The sequence below is a fragment of the Homo sapiens genome, chromosome 4, assembly GCF_000001405.40.
Source record: "Homo sapiens chromosome 4, GRCh38.p14 Primary Assembly".
In the NCBI taxonomy this organism is placed as follows: domain Eukaryota; kingdom Metazoa; phylum Chordata; class Mammalia; order Primates; family Hominidae; genus Homo; species Homo sapiens.
The window spans coordinates 44,897,079-44,924,587 of NC_000004.12; the positions used below are offsets into that span (position 1 = coordinate 44,897,079).

The 27,509-nt window shown below is 33.3% G+C and overlaps 1 long non-coding RNA gene across 1 annotated transcript; it reads right to left on the bottom strand.

Moving 5' to 3' along the window:
• Window positions 1–27,509, bottom strand: LOC105374441 (uncharacterized). The gene is made up of 4 exons (XR_925279.3): window positions 27,463–27,509; window positions 27,222–27,291; window positions 13,654–13,722; window positions 1–81 (listed from the first exon to the last, which is right to left on the bottom strand). It is a non-coding gene; the product is annotated as an uncharacterized LOC105374441 (long non-coding RNA).

Sequence of the window (27,509 nt, forward strand, 5' to 3'; positions counted from 1 at the left end):
ATGAAACAGCTGGAAGATGGTGTTTAAACAATCATCAGCTAAGAAGTTTCAAATATGCTTTCTTCCACAGTGTCCTTTCTGCTGTAAATGAAATGATAAACATGTTCAGTTTACCAATATTTATTAAGCAACTACTCTGTGCCAGGCATGGTACTACCTGTAAAAGATGATTGCGGGCCGGGCGCAGTGGCTCACGCCTGTAATCCCAGCACTTTGGGAGGCCGAGGCGGGCAGATCACGAGGTCAGGAGATCGAGACCACGGTGAAACCCCGTCTCTACTAAAAATACAAAAAAAATTTAGCCAGGCGCAGTGGCGGGCGCCTGTAGTCCCAGCTACTAGGGAGGCTGAGGCAGGAGAATGGCGTGAACCCGGGAGGCGGAGCTTGCAGTGAGCCGAGATCGCGCCACTGCACTCCAGCCTGGGCGACAGAGCGAGACTCTGTCAAAAAAAAAAAAAAAAAAAAAAAAAGGATGATTGTGACATAGCACTTGCTTCGTGGGCTTTTAGTCTTATTTGGGGAAAAATATTTAACATTTCAAGTAACTCCCTAATTTAAAAATATATCAGTTTTCTTATCATAATGAATTATACTGTTACATGCTATATTTATGAGCAGCATTTCTTTCTGCCTTTCTAACAACTTTCTTGAAGTATAATAGAAAGACAATGAACTGTATATAAAGTATACAAATTGGATAAGTTTTGATATATGCATACACTCATGAAACCATTGACACAATCAAGATAATGAATATATTCACCATCCCAGAAATTTCCTCCTGTCCCTTCATCATCTCTCCCTTCTGCTAATTCTGCCCACCACTTATCTTCAGGAAACTATTGATTTTTCTGTCACTGTACTCTAGTTTGTACTAAGAACTTTATACAATTTTAGTATGCATTTTTTGGTGTGATTTTTAAATTCAGCACTATTGAGACATCCATTTTGTTGCATGTATCAAAAGTTAATTTATTCTTATTGCAAGGTAGTATTCCAGCATACAGATATACTATAATTTGTTTATTCATCTATTGCTAGACATTCGTGTTGTCAGCTACTGATGAAGATCGTGTACATCTGTGAATAATGTTTATGTGTGTAAGTCTTTGTATGAATGTATAATCTCATTTTCTTGGGAAAATATCCAGACATGGAATGTCTGGTTGTTATGGCAGATATAAGTGTGAGACTGTATATATATATATATATATATATAAATATTTGTGTATTTTATATATGTTTAAGATATTTTCTGTTGTTTAAGAAACGAACTATTTTTCTTTCTTTCTTTTTTTTGGGGGTGGGGACAGAGTTTTGCTCTTGTTGCCCAGGCTGGGGTGCAATGGCATTACTTGGCCTCACTGCAACGTCCACTTCCCAGGTTCAAGGGATTCTCCTGTCTCAGCCTCCCGAGTAGCTGGGATTACAGACGCCTGCCACCACGCCCAGCTAATTTTTTGTAATTTTAGTAGAAACGGGATTTCACCATTTTGTCAGGCCAGGTAATTCACCCACCTTGGCCTCCCAAAGTACTGAGATTACTGGTGTGGGCCACCGCGCCCTATCAAAACTATTTTTCAATATTGTTGCCCATTTCCTGTTTCTACTAGAAGTATATGAGTCTTCTAGTTGCTTCACATTCTCACCAACATTTGGTATAGCCAACCTTTTTAATATTAAACACCTGCAGGGTTTGAGTGGCATCTCAGTGGATTTTAATTTGCATTTCCTTAATGACTAATGATGCTGAGCGTTTTCCATGTGCTTATTTGCCATCTGTATGTCTTTTATAGTTAAGAGTCTAATTCAAATATTTTGCCCAACCTAAAAAAGCATGTTGTTTGTTTTCTTATTATTGAAGATAATTTTCTTATTATTTGAGGATCCATTACATATTCTGAATACAAATTCTTTGTCAGATATATAATCTGCAAATAATTTCTCCTAATATTTGGCTTTTCTACTTACTCTCTTAACAGTGTCAAAGACCAGGAGTTATTAATCCTGATGATGACCAATTTATCAATTTTTTTTATTTGGAATTTTTCACTTCATCCAATATCAAAAAGATTTTTATTTGTGGTTTCTTATGGAAGCTTTATAGTTTTTTTTTTTTTTTTTGCTGTTAGGTCTATGACTTATCTGAGTTAATTTTTATAGATTCTGTAAACTATGGATTGAAATTTTTCTGTTTTTAATTTTTTCCTTAATATGGATATATGTCATTTGTTGAAAAAAAAACCCCTTTATGTATAGAATTACCTTTGTGTCTTTTACAAAATTCAATGTATTTCTCAATTCTATAGTCTTTTCTATTGAACTATTTGTTTATATTTACACCAATATTACACTGATTAGATTACTGTAATTTTGTGATAATACTTGATATCAGACAGTGAAGTCCTTAACATTTATTCTTTTACAAATTTGTTTTGGTTATGAGAAGGTTTTGAATTTTTATATGAATTTTAGAATTTGCTTATCAATTTCTAGAAAAGTTTCTATTGGTATTTTGATACAGATTTTATTGAATCTGTAGATCAATTTGGGGAGAATTGACATCTTAACAAAATGGAGTGTTCTGATACATGAAAATCTATCTCCATTTATTTAGATTCTCTTTTGTTTTTTTAATTAATGTTATGTAGTATTTAGTGTACAGGCCTTGAATGTCTTTTTGTCACATTTGCCACTAAGTATTTTATAGTTTTTGATATTATAAATGGTATTGATTTCTTAATGTCCAAATGTTCATAGCTAGTTATAGAAATACAGTTGATTATTAGATACTTATTTTTGAATCATGCATTTTGGCTAAACTCCCTTATTATTTCTAATAGCCCTTGTGTAAATGTCCTTAGAGTTGTTTTCATGAACACTGTCTAGAACCTTCAGTACAACGTTAAATCATTATAATGAGAATGGGCGTCCTAGTTATGTGATCCCTAGGAAAAGGCATTCATTCAGTCATTTAACATTAAGTATGATAGCTATAGATTTTTAAGTAGATGCCTTTTATCAGATGAGTATTTCCCTTTTTATTCATAGTACTAAGACCTTTTGTTTGTTTGTATTTTAGAAGGAATATATATTGCATATTGCATTTTATCACATGCTTTCTTGTATCTATTGAAATATGTTTTTCATTGTATTCTGTTAATATGGTGAATCACATTGATTGATTTTCAAATATTAAGCCAGTTTTTCATTTCTAGAATAAACTCCCCTTGGTCATGATATACCTTTTATACTTTTCAGAGTTTGATAAAATTTGGTAAGAATTTTTACATCAAATTTTTATAAGAGCTATTTATTGGGCTATAGTTTTCTTTTCCTGCAATGTTTTCTTATGGTTTTAGCATTAGGGTGATGCTGGCTTCAGAGAATTAGTTACATAGTCTTCTCCCTCCTTCTATTTTCTGTAAGAGATTGTGCAAAATTGGTATTACTTCTTTCTTAAATGTTTGGTAAAATGGTGAAGTCATGTGGACCTGAAGTTCTTTTTGTGGGAAGGTTTACTTCAATTGCAAATTTAATTTTTTAAAAAATACATAGGGCTATTTGTCTTATATTTACCCACGCAGTTTCTACTCCCAGTGTTTTTCATTCCTCTGTGTTGATGCGGATTTCATTTGGTATCATTTTCCTTCAGAATCCCTTTAATTTCCTATAATGCAGGATGCTGGTGAAGAACTCCTTCAGCTTTCATATGTCTGGTAAAGCATTTAATACAACTTTGTTTTTAAAAGTTTTTTTTTGTTGTTGTTGTTGCTGGTTATAGAATTCTAAGTTGGCAGGCTTCTTTTTCATTACTTTAAAAATATTTATGTCCTTTTCTCTGGCTGACTTGGACTCCAACAAGAAATCTATTGTCAGTCTAATTTTATTCCTCTGTTTTTTTTTTCTCTGTCTTCTTTTAAAACTTTGTTATTGAATTAAAATAATTTCATTATGATGTGCCTTGGTGAAGTTTTATCACATTTCTTGTACTTGGGATTTGTGAAGCCTTCTTCAAAATGTGGGTTTATAGTTTTCTTCAAACTTCTTGGCAATAATTTCTTCAAATAATATTATTGTCATCCCCCCTTCTCTGTCATTTTCTTCAGAGGCTTCAAATATATATGTACTTGAAGTGTATACTTGAATACATGGGCCACTTGAAATTGTTTCAAAACTCTTTTAATTTTTCAGCGTGTTTTAATTTAATTTTTATGTGATTTATATTGCTATGCCTCCAAGTTCCCAAATTGTTTATTCTGCAATGTATATTTTGCCATTAATCACTACCAGAGTATTTTTAAATTTCAGCCATTTTAGTGTTAATCTCTGGACATTTGTTTTGTTTTTTTTATATCTTCCATCTACCTATTGAACATGTTCAATCTTTTCTCTAGCTTCTTGAACATAAGCACTACAGTTTAAATGACTGTTGTAATGCCCTCATCTACTAATAATAATTCGATCATGTACATATGTGATTTCACTTTTGATTGATTATATTTCCTCTTCTTCATTGGTCTCATTTTCCTATTTCTTTGCATTCCTGGTAATTTTTGACTGATGTACAAAATTGTGAATGTTTAAAAATGATTGAGTGCTTGATATTTTTGAGTTCTATAAATATTTTTGAGCTTTGTTTTGAGATGCAGTTAATTTACTTGTAAATAATTTGATTCTTGTTGAGTCTTGTTTTAAAACTTCGGTGTGATCAGTGTAGCATTACTTAAAGGGTAATTTTGTCATATTATTAAGACAATATTTTTCTGAGTATTCTACTTGATATTGCTTAAATTCTGATATTTTCTTCTCTTGGTGGGAATAGGAACTACTGCCAGCCTTGCTTGAGCTCTGATTATTCCCTCTAATTCCTTAGGATAGTTCTTTCCCTGACCTCAGGTAATTGCTTCACATGCATGAGGTGATGATTACTTGGTGATGATTACTTGGCTGAAGTTCTCCAGGGAAAATCTTTATGCTTCTCTGGAGCTTTATTTCTATGCAGCTCTCCAGCTATCTTGGACTTCCTAGTCTTCCAGCACTATCTTAACTCAGGGAGGCTGCCAAGCTCTGTCTGGTTTCTCTGTTCTTTGCCATACCATAAAAACCCTCTCAGGGATTACTGTCCTTAGTCATATGATGTATAATGTTATAAAAATTGTGGTTTCATACATTCCCTGTCCCATCCTTGTTTTCTAGTAGTTTCAGATGAGAGGCAGAATTTGATCTTTGTTACTCAGTGTTGGCTCCAAAAAAAAAAATCCTCTCATTTTTAACTTCATTTTTGAGAGTTATCATGGATGGGTGGTTATGATTTATGTGCATGCAGATTTATATAAATCAATTGCATTAATATAAATAATGCACATTTAAGAGAGAATAAATTAAAATTGTTAGTTAACTATCTCATGTTTAAATTTATATAGTGCTAACAGCCCAAAATTTAAAAAAACAACAACAAATTTTAGGAATTAAATAATGTTATAACTGGACGGGTCAAATGGATTGTAAGCTATGTTCATTCTATAGACACATTTTGGCATCATCTTTTGTTAGATGTGATTGAAGTATGTTTTGTTTGAACTACATTAAGCGAATTATTTTTACACTATAGATCTTATAAAAACAATATAAGAATTAATCCCGAAGACAGAAAAATAATGCTATTTACTAAAACAGATCTCATTTGATAAAATATTTGAAGCACCTTACAGAAAATACATATAATAGGAGGATAAAATAAAGTTTAAATTTGAATAGCAGCATAGTAGGAAGAGATTCAAAGTAGATTTATACTCCTCTTGGACTATGCTGTTGCTTAACGTGGGCAATAAATTAAGTTCTGTGACTCCCAGGAGCCAAAGTTAAAGACAAAAACAGGAGAAATAAGAAAAAAAGTCAGTATATAATTTTATATTTCTGAATAAAGGATGACTTTTTCAGTTTAAAATCAGTAGATAAAGTCATGATAGAAAAATGTTAATTTAACTACATATAATTTCAAATTTTGTTATATAAAAGATTTTAAAAGTACAATCTGTCTTTAAAGGAAAATAACAGGCTCAGATAACTATTTCTAGAAAAAAATGACAATCTGTGTGAGTGTTTTGGATTTGCAAAAGCCGCTTAAGAAATTAGAGGGATTTTCCTTAGTATGTTTTTAAGTCTGTTCTGTCAGACATTTGAAATATTTAAAAGATAAGATGTATTAATTATGTAAATAGAGTTTAAAATGTTTAAGAAAACATAATTGCCTACCTTTATGCATAAATTATTTAGGGATGTTTAGTATATTAAATATGTGAATTAATGAAATATTTGTCAGATACATGCACTTGTTTATGCATAAAAATTTCAGCTCAATGTAAAGGTTTAAAAAACTGCTCTTTTTTGTTGTTGTTGTTTTGTTTTGTTTTTGAGACGGAGTCTCGCTCTGTCGCCCAGGCTGGAGTGCAGTGGCTCCATCTCGGCTCACTGCAAGCTCCGCCTCCTGGGTTCACACCATTCTTCTGCCTCAGCCTCCCAAGTAGCTGGGACTACAGGAGCCTGCCACCACACCCAGATAATTTTTTTGTATTTTTAGTAGAGACGGGGTTTCACCATGTTAGCCAGGATGGTCTCCATCTCCTGACTTCATGATCCGCCCACATGGGCCTCCCAAAGTGCTGGGATTACAGGCATGATCCACCACGCCCGGCCTGCTCATTTAAAACTTAAGACTTTGTAAAAAATAATAGATGTTGGCAAGACTGCAGAGAAAAGGAAATGCTTGTACACTGTTGGTGGGAATGTAAATTAGTTCAAGCCCTGTGGAAAACACTATGGAGATTTCCCAAAAAACTAAAAATAGAATTACCATTCGACTGAGCAGTTCTACTACTGGGTATAGACCTAAAGGACAAGAAATTGTTTTATCAAAAAGACATTTGCACTTGTATGTTTATCACAGCACTGTTCACAATAGCAAAGGCATGGAGTCATTCTGTGTCCATCAACAGTGGATTAGATAAATAAAATGTGACACATACACACCATAGAATACTGTACAGGCATAAAAAAGAATGAAACTATGTCCTTTGCAGCAACACGGTTGCAGCTGGAGGCCATTATCCTAAGTGAATTAACACAGAATCAGAAAATCAAATACTGGATGTTCTCATTTATACGAGGAATCTAAACAATGGGTACACGTGAACATAAAGATGGAAACAATAGACACCGGGGACTACAAAAAGGGATCAAGAGAGAAGAAGGCATGCATTGAAAAAAACTACCTATTGGGTACTATGTTCATTATTTGGGTGAAGGGTTCACTAGAAGCCCAAAGTCTAGCATTATGGGATAAACCCATGTAACAACCCTGCAAATGTACACCCTATATCTATTTTTAAATCTTAAATTAGTTATAATAGAGATAATCATAATTCTACCATTCTAGGTACAAAAGCTGTTCTCAGACTTAATTAAAAGCTTGTGTGATGGTTAGATTGCAACCTTGTACATATAGAAACAAAACAAAAGGGAATCAAAATGACTACTTACATTTAATGAATTTGTTGTGTCAAAAATGCCATAAACATTCTTAGTTTTGTTGCCTGTTTCTATGGTTTTCTGTTCTGTATTTATTTCTACTCTGATTCTTATTATTTCCTTCCTTCCGTTAGCTTTGAGATTAGTGTGTTCTTTTTCTAGTTCCTTAATCTATGCCGGTAGATTGTTTATTTGAGATCTTTCTTCCTTTTTAATGCAGATGTTTATCGCTATAAACATATGGTGTGGCTCTGTGTCCCCACTCAAATCTCACCTTGAATTGTAATAATCCCCATGTGTCAAGGGCAGGACCAGGTGGAGATTATTGAATCATGGGGTTGGCTTCCCCCATGCTGTTCTGATAGTGGGTGAGTTCTCATGAGATCTCATGGTTTTATAAGGGGCTTTCCCCGCTTCTCTGGCACTTATTCTCTCTCCTGCCACCCTGTGAAGAAACGCGTTCCACCATGATTATAAGTTTCCTGAGGCCTTTCCAGCAGAACTTCCCATGCAGATCTGTGAGTCAATTAAACCTCTTTTCTATATAAATTATCCATTCTCAGGTATTTCTTCATAGTAGCGTTAGAACGCACTAATATATAATCCTTCCTGTTATTACCAGGTGTGCAGCATCTAATAAGTTTTGGTATGAGGTGTTTTTGTTTTTGCTAATTATTTTTAAAATTCCCTTTTGATTTCCGCTTTGACCCACCAGTTGTTCAAGAGTGTGTTTAGTTTCCACAGATTAGTAAGTTTTCCCATTTTCTAGTTTCATTCCATCGTGGTCATAGGAAATACTTGGTATGATTTTGGTCTTCTTACATTTATTAAGATATTCATGACCTAACATGTGATCAATACTAAAGAATGTTCCATGTGTGCTGCTTGAGAAAAATGTGTATTCTTCAGCTGTTGAGTGATGTACATGTCTTGAAAGATGTTTATAACTTATGGCAGTCATGCTTTGATATTCTTATACCAAAATACATAAAATGTCTCTTATAAGTTCGTTATGAAATGAAAATCATTCCAACAGAGAAAAACAGGAAATTAAATTCTAAAAAAGAATGACAGACAAACATGCAAAACATTATGAATCATGTCTAGAAGTTTCATAAATAAAGATTAAAACAAAATATTTTCCCTCTATTTTATATGAGGTTGGCAAGGATTTGTGGAATTTTTTTTCATTCATGACTAGGGCGTGTGTGAGTTGGTTTGAGTATTTATAATGTTTTTTTTTAAATGTAATAAATCAACCTCAAGTGATTTATTCTCAACACACCCACATACACATAGATGCACCAACATTTGAGCAAAGAAAAAACAAACAAAAGAGAAAATGACTTAAAGTTTCTACAACTGGGGATTGGTTAAATAAATTCTGGTCCAACCATCTGATGTGCAACTATAACATTACAATAGTGTTTATAATATTTAATATAATGGAAAAACCCCAAGAGATATTGAGTTGCTATATGTAAGAAGGAGTAATTTTACAGGATAGTCTAACTTTTACTTTTGTTAATGTGCACTTACATCACACGCACACAAAATTTTTGGATAAAGAGCAGAAAGATATATTCTAGAATGTTAAGGAAAATTTGGCAGGTGATGGTGATTTTTATTTTCTTGTGAAGATATTATACTGTATGTGTTTTCTATTATGAATATATGTTGCTTTCATAATCAGAAAAAGTAACTTAAATTATGGTATACATCTAATTCTAAGCTTTTTCAATATTGACACTTGTAACTTTACCTTATTTTATCTACTGCTGCTCCTTGTAAGGAATTGAGAGTGTCTTCATTTAAAAACATTTTTTAAAGTATTAGTTCCATAAACATGTAGGGTTAATATAATTCAAAACCTAAATGAAGCCCCACACTTACCTTTTATTTGCCTTAGAATAAATATTTTTCAAGTCTCTACTCTGGAAATGTTAGTCTCCCGAGTTGCAGACCACATGGCATAATTATTTTCTATACTTGTTTCCACTCACCTCAACACTCCTATTTCTTTTCTAATTCATGTGGAATAATGATTAACACCCAGTAACTGCTTCATAAACACCTGTTTGCAAAATGAAAAAGACTCTGAGGTTTAATCATCTCTCATATAATTTATTATTATTTATTTTTAAATGGAACCTGGTAAAATGATAGAAATTAGGCCTTAGGCTAGTGACATTAAGCAGGAAGGTGAGATTTATGTTGTTTTTCAGTTCAACCTTGGTATACTCAAAACTTTTTCAGGCACTATATTAGATAAAAGACATAAAGAGATGTAAATACAAAAAATCTCCAGCCTTGTTGGGGAAACATACAAATCATAATTACAAAGCAACACTGTATTTGAATAATGCAGTGTTATCCAAGATGCAGAGAGATGCTAGAAGAGTCTGGAAAGCCTGAATGAAGAGATGATTGTTCAAAGGAGACCTAAATGGTGAGTAAATGCCATACAGATAAAGAGCATTGTGGAGGGGCACATTCTAGGCTGAAAGAACAGCAACTGCAGAACTAGCAATAAAGAACATACAGCTAATAACAATTGTCACTCTTAGTTTATTTCCTCTGTTCTTGCCTACTTGTTTCTCAGGGATGCAATCACTGGAACCACCACTGGCTGGCTCAAGGAATTTCTATTATCTGAGCCATACAAGTGTATATGAATAGCTTCCAATCCTGCTATTTCATGAGAAATAAAATTATTTTCTCAAACTTGATATTTGGTGTTTAATCACACTGTTGTATTTCCAGGTGTCTCTCTGAGTGACCTTTATTCAATTTTAGGACTTTGTGCACCTGCCTCTTAATTCCACATACATAGAAACCTTGGGTCTAGGTTTTATCCTCCACAGGTCAACTCTTCCAACTCTTCTTGTCCATTTATTTATCCTCTATTCTACCCCAAATCCAGTAGTCCTCTTTCAGAGTTGATGGATCGAGGAATCTTTGCTGAATACCCTGGTGTCACTCTAGGATTAATGATCTTAGCAGATAATTATTCAAGTGATGTGGGTTTTGTTGACCCTCCTTATTTTTGTCATTTCTCTTCTCAATTCTGGATCTTTGTCCCAGGACACATTCTTTTGGTAACGTTCTCCTTTATACAGAAATACAGAAATCACAGGTTGTTTACTTTACTTCCAGGTAGTTTTCATTGATTGTACATCTCTGTTATTCCACTTATAGCTCCAATTAATTGAACTGCTGACTTAAGCTAATGAATCTTTTCCAGGAGGACTTTGAAATGGAATACAGGTGGTTCCAATCAGTCTGGCAACGCTCTTGAAAGGGAAATAATGAGTTGAGGGCTATTAGTGCTGATCATTTTCTATCCGGTACACTATAGAGCAGATAAAACTCATTTTCAGAATGAGAGAAGAGTGAAGCAGATCAGCACAGAGGAGATCGAGACAGAGAAAGATGATTTTGTGGTTAGCTTGTAGTTTTCCAGTGATTGCTTCTATGTCTTTCCTAGGCCTTCCTGCTGAAGTTCTGCCTTTTGCTTCCCTGAGAAACATTTGTATTTTTATAACAAGTCTTTCTCTCTTTAAATTAGCTACCAATTTATACTAATATGGCACTCATTAGATGTTTTGATGTTTATCCTTACCTGAATACTGCCTGAAATTACAACTTCCAGGCACCATGTCTTAACTTCTGGCTGATCCTCAAGAGTTTGCCACTGAGACTGCATCATCTGTCTCAACACCTCACTCAGGTGTTCAAGCCTTATATCAGTTTTTATACCCCTCCTGATTTCTTCAAGTTATCTTATGTTCTGACTTCCATAATTTCTTTCACTTCCATCTGGCCACTACACAATGGAGTGAATTAAGAAATTTTGAGGCTTCTGGTAGAGACCACTCTAGAAATTCTTTACAAATATTTTTACATGACAATATGGCTATTTAAATCCACGTTAAATTTGAGCATTATTATTCTATTGCATCTGTATGCCATTTTGCTGTATTTTAATTCTGACAACAGTAGATTATTCTAGTGCATTAATTTGAAATGAATCATTTTATGAAAATATAAATTAGTTGAAATTCCATTTACGTAATAGAATTTCCAATATATTCTTGCAGGATTCCAGCATCTGCTGGTTTCATTAGAACATTAGCAGGATCTTTTGAAGAATGCTGACTAATCTATAATTCCTTAAAAAGATTACATATAAAAATTATGCATTGCTTCTGTAAGTTCTTATTTACATATGGTAATTTAGGGATTATAAGGAAAAATGCTATCATTTGGATGATTCTACATAGTGAAGTAGTGGTTTTTGTTGTTGTTCTTGTTGTTGTTTTTGGAAGATGTCTGTACATGTTTTTTAGAGGTTAGTCAGGAGCAATTTTCTTATTCAGGCTTCCATCATTGTTAGAATAAAAATGAAATTTAGTCTTTAACCTCCAGTCCTTGAAGATCGTATTATTCAATTATTTATGACTGATTACTATAGTTAAGATGACTTAAGAACCCTTTAAATGCTGCATAAAATTAAAAAGATTTTGGAGTCCTAATTTCTCAGACAAATATAAAACAATGTTGGATCATTGCTATTTGCTATGATTGATATAAAATCTATTGCTCAAAAAGTGACCAGTGAGAAATAAATACATTTATAATTAGCATACATTTACATTATTTGCAAGATTCAATTTGCTAAAGACTATGCCTTCGTTTCACTGCTATTTAGGAGGCCTCACAAAGTGCTATGAACTCGTGTGACTCCCTACCTTGTAGGCAACTGCACTTTGTAGGGCATTTAGGCACTTAGAATGTGGTGTGGCTTGGATTGGTTATATTATCATTTAAAGAAACTCTTTATTAGCCTTATTAAAACCAACTGTATCTAGGCAAAATGATCCTATATTAAGGAAAAACTTCTTGTGGAACTGGAATAATATTTGATTGCTTTCAGATGTTTGTCCTATACTCCAAAGCTAGAGAGCTGCTTACTCCCTCAGGGAAAACAACTTCACAGCAACTCATTTTACACCAAAACAATTAACTGAACTTAATTGGGCATAACATTTAATAAAAAAGAGCCTCCTTTGGGAAAAAAACAATTTTTTATGTGTCTACAACTGTATAGCATAAAATTGCTATAATTTGTATATGTGTATGTTTTAGAAACAACTTTATAAAAGACTCTAGAAATCAGCATTAATTCTACATGGTGCCTGTCAAATTGTTTACTATTGAAAAAATATTAATTTTTCTTTCTGTTATTTTATGAGACTTTATCATCTCCTGACCAATGATTTATCAAATTTCATGGGACTAGAATAAAGGGTAGCTGTTTGAAAAGCCTTTCTCTTTGAGGTATCTAACATAAATATGAGACACGTATTTCAAACTTTATTTTCTGTAATATGAGGGTAACTTCTTTCTTATACTGTATCTGAAAAATGATTTAAAAATAAACTAATGAAGTAAAGTACCTTTACAAATTTTGATACAATTTACTGTTGCTCCTTCAGAATAATATCTGACTGTCCATTAAATTTTAAAATATGACATTTTACTCCAGGGCTATAATATTCATTTGCTTTGACACAGATAAACATGTCTACTACTGTGTTACACAGAAACTTCAATTTGCGTATCATTTGTATAGTATTATACTTCAGATTAAAAATATAATTGAAGTAACTTTGAATTAAAAAACACCCTAAAGAAACCACACAATCTGAGATAAAATAACTTAAAAAGACAAAATCGGAATCTTTAGTGTAAACGAAGGATAATAGGTATATATGAGGAGGTATGAAAGACATCCTTATATGTTATTATTTATTGGTTTTTAAATTCAATTTTGGGTAGATTGGAAAATAGAAGATTTTGTTCTAATTCTGTTTTTGCAATAAGTGTAATAGCTCATAAAATTTTGGACATGCTATTTCAGGGCACATTGGCATAAATATTTGTAAAATTCTTTCCTTAAAGTAAGAACTAAAGTACTCCTCAGGAGAAATGCATTTCTGTCATAGATAAGAGCATTGTAAAATAATCTGTTTTAAAGTAAATATGAAATATAGAATGTTTGGTGCTCTGCTGATTTGTATTCAAAATAAATCCCAGTGCCCTGAAATCGTTGGGGCTTACCAATTCCAGCAGTCAAAGGTCTCAGCTTTAGGCGTTCCTATAACCTTGGTAAAAGCTGAAATATGAGCTCTGAAAGACAGCACATACATAATGAAAAATACCTACCCCATTTTATCCTTAAATATGTTTAGATCTAGTTAACTCAAGTGATGTGCCCAAAATCAAACTAATGGAAGCTGAAAAATAGTTGTGAATAGTGAAAATTAAATTATTTCTCAATTCTTCTGCTCCTTCTGATTTCGTATTGAGTTGTGTTTATTATAATGACCTCTGGAGTAAGACTGCCTGGGTTCATTTTCAGCTTGACCATTTACAAGTTATGTGACCTCGAGAAAGTTACTTAACCATTCTTTGCCTCACTTTTTTAACTCATTAAATGGGGTTATAACAGTACTTCCTTCATATGATTTTTATGAAAGTTAAATGATTTAAAATCATTTAAATAGTGCCTAGTATGAAAATAGCACATTAAGCTGGATAAACCCAGTAGATATGAGTAATGGTCTTCTACCTTTCGTATGATGACAATGCTCCGTTAAAGATTTTCTTTGTACTTCTGTTATTTTTGGCAGAACTATTCAAAGTGGCTTTGTTTTTAATAGCCAGAATCTGGAATCAAACCAGATATTCTTTAATGGATGAGTGGCCAAACAATCCATGTCATATACATACCATGGAATACTATTAAATAACAAAAAGGACCAAAGTATTGACAGGCATGGCATCTTGGATGACTCTCCAGGATATATTCTGTTTTTAAAAAGCCAGTCCTAAAGGGTAAATATTGTATTATCCCATTTATATAAGTTTTTAAATGAAAAAATTGCCTGCATTAGGAACAGAGACTGAGCAGGGAAAGGTGGAGTGGCTGTGGCTATAAAGAGGCAACCCAAGGGATCCTTGCAGTGATGGAACTGGTCAGAATGTTGACTGTGGTAGTGGATACATGAACCTACACATATGATAAAGTTGTATGGAACTAAACAGACATGCATACACACACACACACATATAAACACAAGTAAAACTGAGGGAATCACAATAAGATATGTGGATTGTATTCATTTAATATACTGGTTGTATTTTGCAAAATGTTGTCATTATGCTATATTGGGTAAAGTGAGCATGGGCTTTCTTACAATTGCATGTGAACTTCATTACGATTGCACATAAATCTACAACTATCTCTATAAGAATTTCAATTTTAAAAAGTAGCACGGGAAGAGGGAGGCTGCTTGGAATTTGAAAATTTATATGATAATCCATGTTTAGGAAATAAATAATTAAAAGTGAAGTAGATTACTGCATAGAATAAAAAAAGTAGAAAGAATAGAATAAAATAAAACATTATTAAAATTATAAAATCATAGACCCTAAAAGCATGAGAGATCATCTCATCTGTTGACCAGTCCAAGGTAAAGGTTTTGTTATTCTGTAGCAAAATGTGAAATATTAAGACAAAGTCACTCCTGTGGTGTGTGTGTGTGTGTGTGTGTGTGTGTGTGTGTGTGTGTGTCTGTGTGTAGGGGGTGGGATGTTGACATAAGTTTGCTAACTGTCCTATTTTGGGAAGGAACTGTCCTTTATCTTCGATTATTCCTTGCCTCCATCTTGAAGTTAGTTTTCTTTCTTTTACAAAATAATAGTTATAGTACTTTTGTGATGTCCTTCCTTAATATTACACAAAATAAAATGTTGATAAACTTTAAAAAAAAACCTGAGTGGATATGAAGACACTCCTTCACCAAAAAACAAAACACCAGAAAAAAAATGTGGGTCCTAAGTGGAAAGTAAAAGTGATGTTGAATATATAAACATATGAAGTCAATACACAAAGGCTAGAGAGAGACAAGAGAGCTCAGGGAAAGGTGGAGAGACAAAGGAGAAAAAGCATGAACTGGCAGGACCTGCAAAAATACGGTGAGAATAAAATAGCAAGAGATGGAAAGTGCAACAAAGGATTGATCCCATCCACAGAATTTCCCATGAAGAGGAGTTCTTGTGTTTTCAGGAGAATGTGTGCTCTGGGAGATTGCACTATCTGTCTATTGAGTCTGTTCAACAGGAAATTTCTGATATTCATTAAGACACATTCTGTGGTTTAAAAGCTATCAAATGTTTTCTTTCCTTACAAATTTCCACAGAAAATTTAGGATTGTACCCTTGCGATGAAAGATTAAACCTTGTTCATCACTTACAGGATTTATCTTCTGACTGAGTCCTTCTAAGTTGAATAAAAAGAACATTCTGGGAAATTCTCTATATTCATGATTTTTAAATGGCTTCTCCTGGTTCATGCCCCTCAGATGATTGTTTAAAACTAAATTGTTATGGAAACTTTTAATATGTGAGGCATGTTTAAGAAATCATTTGGGGCGAACACGGACTGAAAGTCTGTGTTTTCTACAAGCTCAGCCTTTGCCCAGACTGTCTCACGAGTGAGAACTTTTCTTTGGGTGGATGCCATTCCCTCTGTCTTTCTTGGTTTCCTGGTACTTCTCCATCTGGTCCTGTGACCCCAAACCAGTCCACAGTAACATGGTCACAGCCCTTCCTTTGTCATCTTTATATTTTCAAACCACATGATGGGTCATCATCAAAAATGCCCTGTTTTGAGGTTGATTATTTTATTACAAGTTCATTTGCAAAATCTGCACACTGCTCATCAGGCTAAAGCTCCTCAGCCAGTGCCGCTACAGCTTCCCTGAGTGGGGCCTGCAGCCTTGTGGCAGCTAGGTAAACTCAAACAAGAAAATGCTGCAGAGAAAGCAGGGTCTTTCTTGCCTGAGTTTCTAGCCTGCCAGCCTCCCCTAAAAGTGTCAGATTTTCTGGTTTCCCACAATCACGTAAGCCAGTTCTTTGAAATACAATACACGTATACATATACCTTATTGATTCTGTCTCTCTGGAGAACCTTGACTGATAAAACTGATATTAGCATTTTATAATTGTGATTTTTATATCTTTAACTACATGATAGGGATGTTGTGTAGTGAATCTTATATTCCCCAGAACTATGCCCTGTGAATTCTTAATGAATCAATGAACATTTGGTAATGCTTTCCCCATAACTTATATTACTCTTTATTTCACTAATCTTTATTGATGGTTAAAAGACCTGAGGGTCAGCTTAGATTTTCTAAATCAACATAAAGTAATTTATATGTTAATTTAAAATTCAGACTTCCTCTGTATTTTGAGGGAGTAAAAGACTAGATATATAAGCTAGGCTAAAAATGAGCCTGAAAACTGAAATTGAAATATTTGAAAATGCAAGCGGTCTTCTCATTTTATATCCTAATCTACTCCGTTTATTAACATGCATGCTAATGGAAAGTAGGCTGCTCATAATTCACATGTATGATGAGGGCCAGAAAGTGTGAATATCCAGTCATTGCACAGTAGACATTTTGAACTGGCCACCACATTCAAGTAGGATTTGGTTTTTACTACATTGTCTAGATTTTTACTTATTAATTTGTATGTATCTTCCCAACTTAAATACTTTGACTATTTCATAATCCAGTTTTAATATGTATTTTAAAAGTGATAGTTGTTTGAAGCCCAAGAATCAAATATTTTAAGCAGCTCAGGTTATGAGATAGCAGAAATTTAATTCTATGTTTTATTCTTTTTAGCATCTGCTGTTGAGACAGTATGAATCATGACACACACATCTACTCTACATCTTTCTTTCACTCTTACTCACAACATCTGTAGTAGAGTTCCCTATACTTTGTACTGATATAACTTGATGTCTCAATAGAAGTCCTTTAGGCAAGAAACATGACTATTTTATTCAGAATTTCAAACAAAATGAAAAGTAATTATCAAAACCTGAGTTCCTAGAATCTTGGCCATTGAGAATACATGGGATTCTTACGTCTTCCACTGTAGTGACTTCTGGATTTTCCAGATTCTCTCATTTCTGAGCCACCATATATGTTTATCTCATCTGCTTCAGCATTTGCCAGTAAGTGGAAGGGCTGCACCTCTGTGTGGACAGATGAGTTACCTTCCCAGGACCAAGTAGTATTTTGCCTAAACTGTGCTCTCTGCGAAGGTCACTTGCCTTCTCATCTTTTTTCCTCCCCTAATTACTTATCCTTCAGGAGAAGACATTGCTTTTGCATAGACACATACACTCATGCACAAAAGCTTTTAAGCAGGAGGTCAGGCTCCTTGCTCTGTGGTTTTATGGCACTTTGTACTTCCATTATCGTAGCTCTTAGCACACTGTACAATTACTGTGCAAAATCTCCTCACTGTTCTTCAAGCTCCATGTCCTCTGTTTATTAAGTCTGCAATGCCCAGCAAAGAGCCTTATACTTTGTAAACACTAATAATGGACCAGTACATTAACAATCTGAGATTTTACAAGCTCTTTTCATTCAAGGTGGAGAAAAAGCTTCTTTGAAAGCCAAAGAATTTAGTGGTTAAAAGCAAGTGAAGAAACATTTGTAGTTTTTTAAAAGCTTATTGGAATGTTTACCAATTGCTAATTCCAAATATAATTTTCAAGTCTCACTCCTAGTAATAACTGAATGTAATATATTATTTATTTATCATTTTTAATAGAAAAGGTAAGGTAACAACTAATTTTTACAGCAAGTATTATTAAGAGAAAATTTAAAATGAAGAACCATGTCATCTTGTATACTATGAATTGTGGCATTATATTTTGTTATGTGTTTTATGTATGTTTTCATTTGTACGAAAAATCTGCTCTAGTTTTTAATTGATGAATGGAAGATATTTTTAAGCTACAAAACAAATATATAATTATATATGTGTCAATAATACATGTACATTTTGCAATCATATGTGTGTGTATATATGTATATATATATATAAAATAGTACATATTTCATAGCATTATGACACTTAAGTATAAACTTCTTTGAGAAGTACCTGGAACATAAAACACACCATATAAATTTTGTTAATATTTGGATGATCAGTGATTTATAATTATTTTTTGGTTGAGGCAAATGTTCTCTTTTCACTCCTACATAAAATAAGAGATAAGACATTATTTTCTAGTCATCAAAGCTAATAGATTATAGTAACAATTTGTGCTTTGGGAATCAATAGACTGAAACTGGCATCCATGGCAGGTCAAACTAAAAAGATTGTGTGTCAGTGCTTGCAGTCAAAAAGCCATCACCCTTCTGTTGTTTCTTTGTCTACACAGGACAGTTTACTTTTTGGAGTCACACTCAAAAAGGGGCTTTATTCTTAGTGGCAAACTCATGTCAGTTTTTAAAAGCTTCAGAATTGCAGCTGTGCATCTTCTGAACTAAAAAGCTGTTTGAAATTTTTATCTGAAATTTTCTAAAAAAATTAACCAGTGTCATTTTTCTTGATTTATTTCTTTGCTTTTCCTCTTAAGCAACTGAAAATAAATTTCAGGAACTCTAGGTATATTTTTACTTCAACAGGTGTCTCTACACATACTTTACATCTCCATTTCTACATACTCATTAACATGCTTTTCTTACTGTATTTTACTATATTCATTATATTATACCTACTACATTTATTTACAAAGTAAATAAATGGTCATTACATTAAAAATTGTTTAAGCAGAATAAATGTGTTCGAATTCTTTGCATTTTTATTTTATGAACTTAAAATGCATTTTACAAACATTGACTATCTTCCTACTTTCTGTTCCTTGAGAAAGAAAGATATTGAGAATATTTCCTTTCTATTACCCCCTCCTTTCCTGATTGGTATATTTCTGAAACACTGCTGGATTTGACTGACCATTAATAATAAGTTGTAGAGTGATTTACAGTTTTTAAAGCTCTTCTGTGCTTTGATCCTTACAAAGGCCCTGTGAGCTCATCATGTCAGGGAGTAATGCTCCGTTTCCACCCCTTTCTCTGAAACAAAGTGAAACTAGTTTTGTAACTGGACAATGTTAAGCTTCTTAGTAAATGTTATGCAGTAATTCAATCTTGAATTGTTGGCCTCCCAAATAGATCCATTGCAGAAAAGCGTTTAATATAGACGTGACTTTGATATAAAAGTGTGCACAAAAGATTTTGAAAATCTAAATTTTGATGATTACTCTCGTCGTAGAATACTTCTCTGTGTTAACAAGAGAAGTCAGGATAAGACCCAGCTCTCCTGACTTGCCCTCATGAGTTCTTTAAATTCATCATCATTAGCAATACTTCAAAACAAGAAAAGAGGTCCATTGTTTTTTTCTCGTGTAGGGAAGGATTAAGGAAAAGAGAGAGAAAGGAAATTTGAAGTTGCCTATTTACCTGATGTTTTTATTCTGGCATCTTGACAGAAAACGGTTTTGCAGATATTTTCCTTCAGGGTATATATAGTTAGAATTGACTGTGGCCCCTTTAGCCCACTGATTTGTTTCTGTTGGCCCCTTCCTTCCCCCCAATCCCACTCTCTCTCTGCCCAGAAGAACCAGTTGATCCTGACTGGTCCAATTCCCTAGGATTAGCACTCTAGAAAATAATGACTTCTCTTATTTTCTTCCAGGATCTACTCAGGGAAGCAGAATTCCTATGATGCTTAGATAAACTGCTTTATATTGCTTCTGGAAACTAATTTTAGAAAAAGTACAAACCAGGTTACTTTTGTATCAGTTATTGATGACCAGCTCAAAAATTTCTCTGAGGCATTTATTCAAAGTGATACATTCAAAACCAAATTATATTGAGACTAATTCTTTTGTATTAAATAAGTAACACATTAATTGCATTGCCCTTGTTAAAATTAAAACATGATAGATAAATCTAAGTTCCCTTTATCGTGAGTGCAATCTTGGTCCCCTTCATTCTCCTCCAGAAGTAACTCTAGAAATAACTCCTCATGTGTACTCTCCTAGTGTCTTTTTCTTATATTTGAATTCTGTAAATATATATGACTATAGAAAAAACAAAGTATTGTTTTGTTGTTGAAATTAAAACATACATGTTCTGCAGTTTGCTTCCTCCATTTCAACAATATGTCTTAAAGATATGTTTGTGCTAGAACATAAAGATCTACCTCATTCTTTTTAACTACTATACTGCAGTCCATAATATGCTGTCCATTCCTTTATCAATGGTCTTCAGATTATTTCCAGTTCTTTGCTATTACAAATAAAGGCTGGACAAGTATCCTTGAACATGGCTCCTTAGATTCAGGTGACAGTGTTTCTCAAGAATGTATATAGAGATGTGAAAATGGAAGGTTATAGGGCATACATAGTCTCAATTATAATGGATGTTTCTTAATATCTTCACAAAGGGATCATCTTAAATAACAATCCCATGTGTAGTGCCCCTTTCCCATAATGTCAATAACACTTGGTATGGAACTCCAAATTTTTGCCAATTTGATGGTGAAAAATAGTTTCAGGTTAACTCCTACTTTTTTCACCCCAGGGTGAAATACTTATAATAAAAATATCTAAAAATGATGCCATGTGATAAATTAAGCAAAAAAAATCAATATATTAAAATTTTTGCTTTATTATTTTCTTATATCACACAGTCAGATATCCTGTTCAGGGACTCTTTAAGCCTCTCCCTCTGTAGAGCAGATTCCCTTTTCACATCCCAGTAGGACTGTTAATTGGGTTTTGAATCTGATTACTGAGACAAATTGGATCAATGGTAAAAGTACTAAGCAATTTATTCCATGTTCACAGTCCATTGCTGAAGAAAACAGTTCATAAGTTCTTATGAAAACTAGAGATTGTCCATTCTTCTACAAAATAAAGAAAATCCTGAGCAGACACAACTGACAACTTGTTAAGCCTTTCCTATAGTTAGTTCTTCAGATTTAGGATTATGGGGAGGAGTCAGAGCGTATTCAGGCTCTCACTGCACATCGTATGGTACATAAGCTATCAGTTTTTACTTAGGATTAAAACCGTCATTGAGCTGTAGGGCCTGCCATTTCTAACCAACTTCTGCGTTGGATTGAATAATCCGATCAAGCTATTTTTAGCCCTTGGGATACATCCTTATCTTTAGTGGCTGTGCTGTGACAGTGATAAATAGGCCCAGTAGCCCACAGATTCAGGCTTTTCAGCAGGAATTAAAGGGGAATCTCCTTTCTAAATAAAGGGTATCAGGAAAAATATGTTGAACTCTTCATTATCCACAGCAGTGGCAATGCAGAGAAGTGGACTCTAAATTGTATTCAGTGCCCGAAAATTCTTGTATGTTGCAGTGTTTATCATAGGTAAAAGGAAAATACATTTTGTAAAGGCAAGTACTTTTCGTTGAATGGATGAGTTTGGCAGCATGGTTGAATTATTAAACCACGCTGAAATTAATGCCAAATTAGTAGGTAAGCATTTTTGTCATACTGCTTACCTGATATGGTTTGGCTGTGTCCCCATCCAAGTCTCATCTTGAATTGTAGTACCCATAATCCCTACATATCATGAGAGGGACCTGGTGGGAGGTCATTGAATCATGAGAGTGGTTACTCCCATGCTTTTCTCATGATCGTGAGTGAGTTCTCAAGAGATCTGATGGTTTTATAAGGGGCTTCCTCCCTGCACCCCTACTTCGCTCTGCACTTCTCCTTGTTGCCACCATGTGAGGAAGGACATGTTTTCTTCCCCTTCTGCCATGATTGTAAGTTTCCTGAGGCCTCCCCAGTCCTGTAGAACTGTGAGTCAATTAAACCTCTTTTCTTTATAAATTACCCAATCTTGGGTATGTCCTTATAGCAGCGTGAAAATGGACTAATATACTAGCCATATGGTTTTGTGTAAGAATGGAATCTCTTTATTATTTACTTACGTATAAAACTGAGTTACTAATATTTTACTGACAATTTCACAGGGCCATTATACGAGTTAGAAAAAAAGCATATAAATATCATGTTAAGTAACCTCTAAACTGTAGTTATGAATACATTCATTTATTAATTCATCCAACAGTTATTGAATATATAAAATTTATCCATTAGGATAAATGCTGTGATGTATTGAGGGCAATTGTAACAACCTGAAGCAAGGATATTTACCATGGAGAGTAAAGACAGGCTAACAGAAGAGAAGGATAGTTCAGAAAAACACAGAAGGGTAAATTCAAGTTATTCAAGTGAAGGGTTTGGGAGTCTAAGGGAGTGGAAGTAGAAAACACTTTATATAGAAGAACATGTAAAATGTCTCAGGCAAAAAAAAAATATTATCTGGGAAGTTCCTTGGGTTGTTCTGGAGTTATTATGATACATTCCAATGTGTATAATAAAATGTATACATAATTTCATTCAGGATATTTGCTTTAAAAGCTTTTCTTCTAGGAAAAATGATTAAAATGGGTTGACTCTTATTTGAATCACTATGTTCCATTGGCATTTATAATGCATCTAGGATTTTAATTCACATCTTTTTTATATGAGTTTTTAGGTATTATCTGTGTATTTGTTTAGTTTTATTAAACAACAAAACACCTGTTAGCACTTCCAGTCTTTATTCCATAATTGGTATAGCTCCAGCAGCCTTAATTGCCCTCTCTTCCACACAAAAATTGATGAGGGATAATTTTATAGGAATATTGATTCAGCAATTCCAGTATATTCCTTTAATTACTATGTTACACTAGCCATTTCGTTTTTAGATGATTCTCATTTAAAGTTACCATTTTTTTCTGAGTGTAGAAATAATATAGATGTTGTAGAACACTGATAACATGTAGAAAAGTCTAACATATTAAATGAAGACAGCAATGATACCACCACCCAGAAGCAAACATTGCTCTCATTTTGAAGCATACATTTACAATCTTTTAGTGTTTTTTTGTCTTAAGCATATGTATATACTTAAAATGAAAATTACCTAGAATATACAAAGATATATCCAGCTTTTCTGTTAATTTATTATTCATATATCACCATTAATAAATATTCCTTAGAACTCTTAATGTCTGCATAATATTCAACAAAGGTTATATAAACATGTTTACTTAAAAATTTACCTATTATTAAATATTTACATTTTAAACGTTTTAATATTTAAATAATACTACTATAAATCTCCATGCATATATGTATTTGTGTACAGATCTGACTTAGTCCTGAGAATCCATAGGATTTTATTTGCTAGATTAAAAATAAAAAATTTGTGATATATGTGGCCAAATTGCCCTTCAGAGCTAATGTATAAATGAATGTCCCTATCTATAATTTTGTGTGTGTGTTCACAGTAGGGAGTCATCTACTTTAAAAAACATTTGCCATTATGGTAGTCTTTAAAAATGTACTTGTTACTTAAATTTGAATTTCTTGGATTGAAAGAAAAACTATATTTATTTATACCTCTATATTATATAATGTGTCTATTATAAAATTGTATATAATATGTGTCTAATATAAAATTATGTGTCTATTATATATGTATAAATTATATGTATATTAATTTATAATATATTACATATTATATAACATACATAATATAATTAATAATAATTACATAAATAATATATTATTAACATATATATTATCCCTATATTTATTTGCTGAGACCTGTGTGGTTCTTGTCTTTTTTATATTTTCCTGTGCTATTCATAATTTTCCTATTGACTTATATGAGTCCTGTACAGATGGAAGCTTTTAACCTTTTGTGTGTTGCATTTACAAAAAAATAATCTGTTGATTTGTGGTATTATACAATTGGGAAAAGAAATAAGTATTTCATAAATGATGCTGATAAATTATTTTGGTAAGGGAGAATGGGAAGGAGAGATTGGAGTGGGTGTTAACCCTTTACTCTATCCTTTCACAAAAGTCCATGTCAGGCAGATTGAAGAGGTAAGTATAAAGAAAAAAAAAAAAAAAAAACTCAAGAAAAAATTAAGAAGATACCATAAGATATCTCTAATTTATAATTTGTGAAAGCCTGTTTAAGTGAAAAACCAATGAAAGAAATTACCAAAGGGAAAAAAGATTTGACCACATTAAAAATATTAGAATCTATAGGTCTAATTTCAATAAAAATGATTGCTAAGAGGAAATCACTCATTTTAAATGTGAATTCCTAATACTGACTGATATAACTAAATAATAAGGATGATAGCTAAATCTTTTTACAATTGATAACCACTTAACCTAATATTCTAAAACACAGAACCATTTTATAGGCAGATATGATTCAAACATAGTTGGAATTTCATATATAATGAGGCTTTTGAAGTAAATGTATTTGTATTTTGACGATGTTTTATTAGAGAAAAATGTTGCCTTTCTAGTTAGCTGAGAGTTCAGAGAGCCCGTTTTCTGTTAAGCGACTCTTGAGCTGAAGTCCTGGGTGGAAGTGCTTACCATGGTGCCCACACTGCTGTCACCCGTGCCCTGATGACTGATGACTACAGCCCCAATCTCTTTCCCAGGCTCCAGGCTGATGTTTCTAACTGCCAGAAAGCCATACTTGAGTGTCAGACTGTCAATCGGTCTGTCTGAAACTTAAGAACTCATTCTCCTTTCCTAACCCGTTCCTCCCCAGGTATTCTCTCTCTCTGTTATTCCACTTTAGAAGTCTCTCTACTTTGCTTCTTTCCCTCCATTTTAATGGTATTTCTCTAGTGTGGGCCCTTCTCATGAATCACATCACTCTTTCAAAAACTTGTCCCTTTGCCTGTTTATCTTTTCTCTTTCCCCAATTCCAAAACGTAATGAGATGCTCCAGAAAATATCTGTGAAGACTCCACCTTCCCCTTGTATATTTTGGAACATTCACAACTATGAAAGAACTGTAAAAGAATGTGCCCTTTATACATTTCATTCAAACCGTATTCCATATTCCCTCACACACTTAAAAAATATATATTGTAAATAGCAAGTGCTTTCTTAAGCAGAAGCAGTCCTGCCAAGTCAGATGTAGAGATAAATTAAAGGAATGACAGGGTGCTTGCCAATGATTGTGAGTGAAGGAGGGGGAGGAGGAGCATGAGAAGAGGATTAACTAGGATTCGCTTTTACCTTTCACCTCATGCTCACTTTCTCTCATCTCTTCGTCTCCTTGGTCTTACTCTCAACTCCTTAGATCAAGGATCATGGCTGCCTTTACTCAGAACATGGACAACGGAGACACAAAAACTAAGCTAAAATTTATCTGAATATGGGGTGGACCCTGAAATGAACCACTGAAACAAAAAAAAAATCTTTTAAACTGCTTATAAATTGTGTTTATTTCTATCCTTTTAGATTTACCATAATTAAATATTATAATACACAGACACAACCTCCCTTTAATAAGCTTTACTCTTCCAAAAGTCAAGAATTGTTGTACTCTTCAGAAAACTAAAATTACAGTGATTTTTATGCTGATTGTTAAGTAATTCTGGATTCATCATCTTAATAAAATGTTGGGACAGATGTCTACTAAAACCTAATGAAAATTAGTGAGACTAGCTTCTGGAGAGAACCAAATGCTTGTTATTTTACCTCAGTCTGCTACCGTGATCTTGGAGTGAAATTATCAAGAACAAAGGAGGGAGTATATATTTAAATATAACAAGTCTTTTAAATAATGTATTTTCTTTTCTGTACTTTTTATTTCTAAATAAATGAAATAATTTATATGCTAAATAGCCAACTTGGTAATTTGTCATATAGACATAGTCAAAGTGAAATGATTCACAATTCTCATCCCTAACTCTACACTTGAGAATTTTCTCTGTAAAATAGAAGGTAATGTTCAGTTTGATAAAAATTTCTTTTGGCAATGATAATATTATTAATTATCTTGAATATATTTTTGTGTATTTTTATGGAATCAATAGTTTTTCATATGCACATATTTAATGAAAAGTACAAATTTGCTTTAGAATGAAAGTCAGAATTAATACAGAATGATATTATTTAACTATTTTCACTTAACACATTTCAGAAGTTTATTTTGTTGTGGTAGCCAAGGTGTGGAGCATTAAGGAACTTAGGCATCTCTTTATAAACTACCTGAAAGACAGTCCCCTTTTGCCTTTCCCTAACAACTTATCTTTGGTGTGTTCTTAGAAGAATCATATAGTAAAAATCATAGGGCCAAGCTGTCCTTTACTTTAGTTACCTGAGTCTTCTATGTTCATCACTATTGTAAAAGTTGAATTTCTTCTGAATCTAGTAATAAAACAAAGTGAAGTGAAGCCAAAAATTCTATAGAAGAAAACATAATCTTTCACCTCCTTTATTTTTTCTTGTTAACATTACCAAAGTTTTATTATGTGAACCACACTGCATGTTTTACTATGTGAACTGCACTGTACTTCATTTTGTGGCCAGTGAAAAATTAAGATGTTAGGTCATGAGCAGTCACAGCAATATATATGGAATTGTGGGGGTTCATTCAGAAGTCCAATGAAAAAGTCAATGTAAGAAGAAAAAAAAATTATACTACCATGAGTAACTACTGCTTTTTGAGTATCTGCTGTGTGCTCAGCACCATGCTTAATGCTTTACATACAACATCTCAATTAATCCTCACCACAACACATTTCAATGTATTAGTAAAGAAAAGCGATGATCTGTCACCTACAAAAACAATCGAACCATACATTTAAATGATTTATTTAACTATATTTACAACAGTTATTGAGTACCTGTAGGTATCAAATGCCAGAGCTAGAAGAATAATCTGTCTGGTTCCCTGGTTCTTGAAAAGACATGGCTCTAAAGAAAAACAAAGAAAGTTATCAATTGAACTGAGACAGATGTATATTGGAATAAACAAAAAACAAAAGCAGATCTGTACAAAACTGATAAATGCTTTCCTTAACTCCCAACCTTCACTTTGCCCATGGTATCACTCCACATTGGCTCCCAGTCTCACACCTGACTCACCCATTTTCTCCCTAATGCAGACCTTTTCTCAGATAACTCCGTCTTCC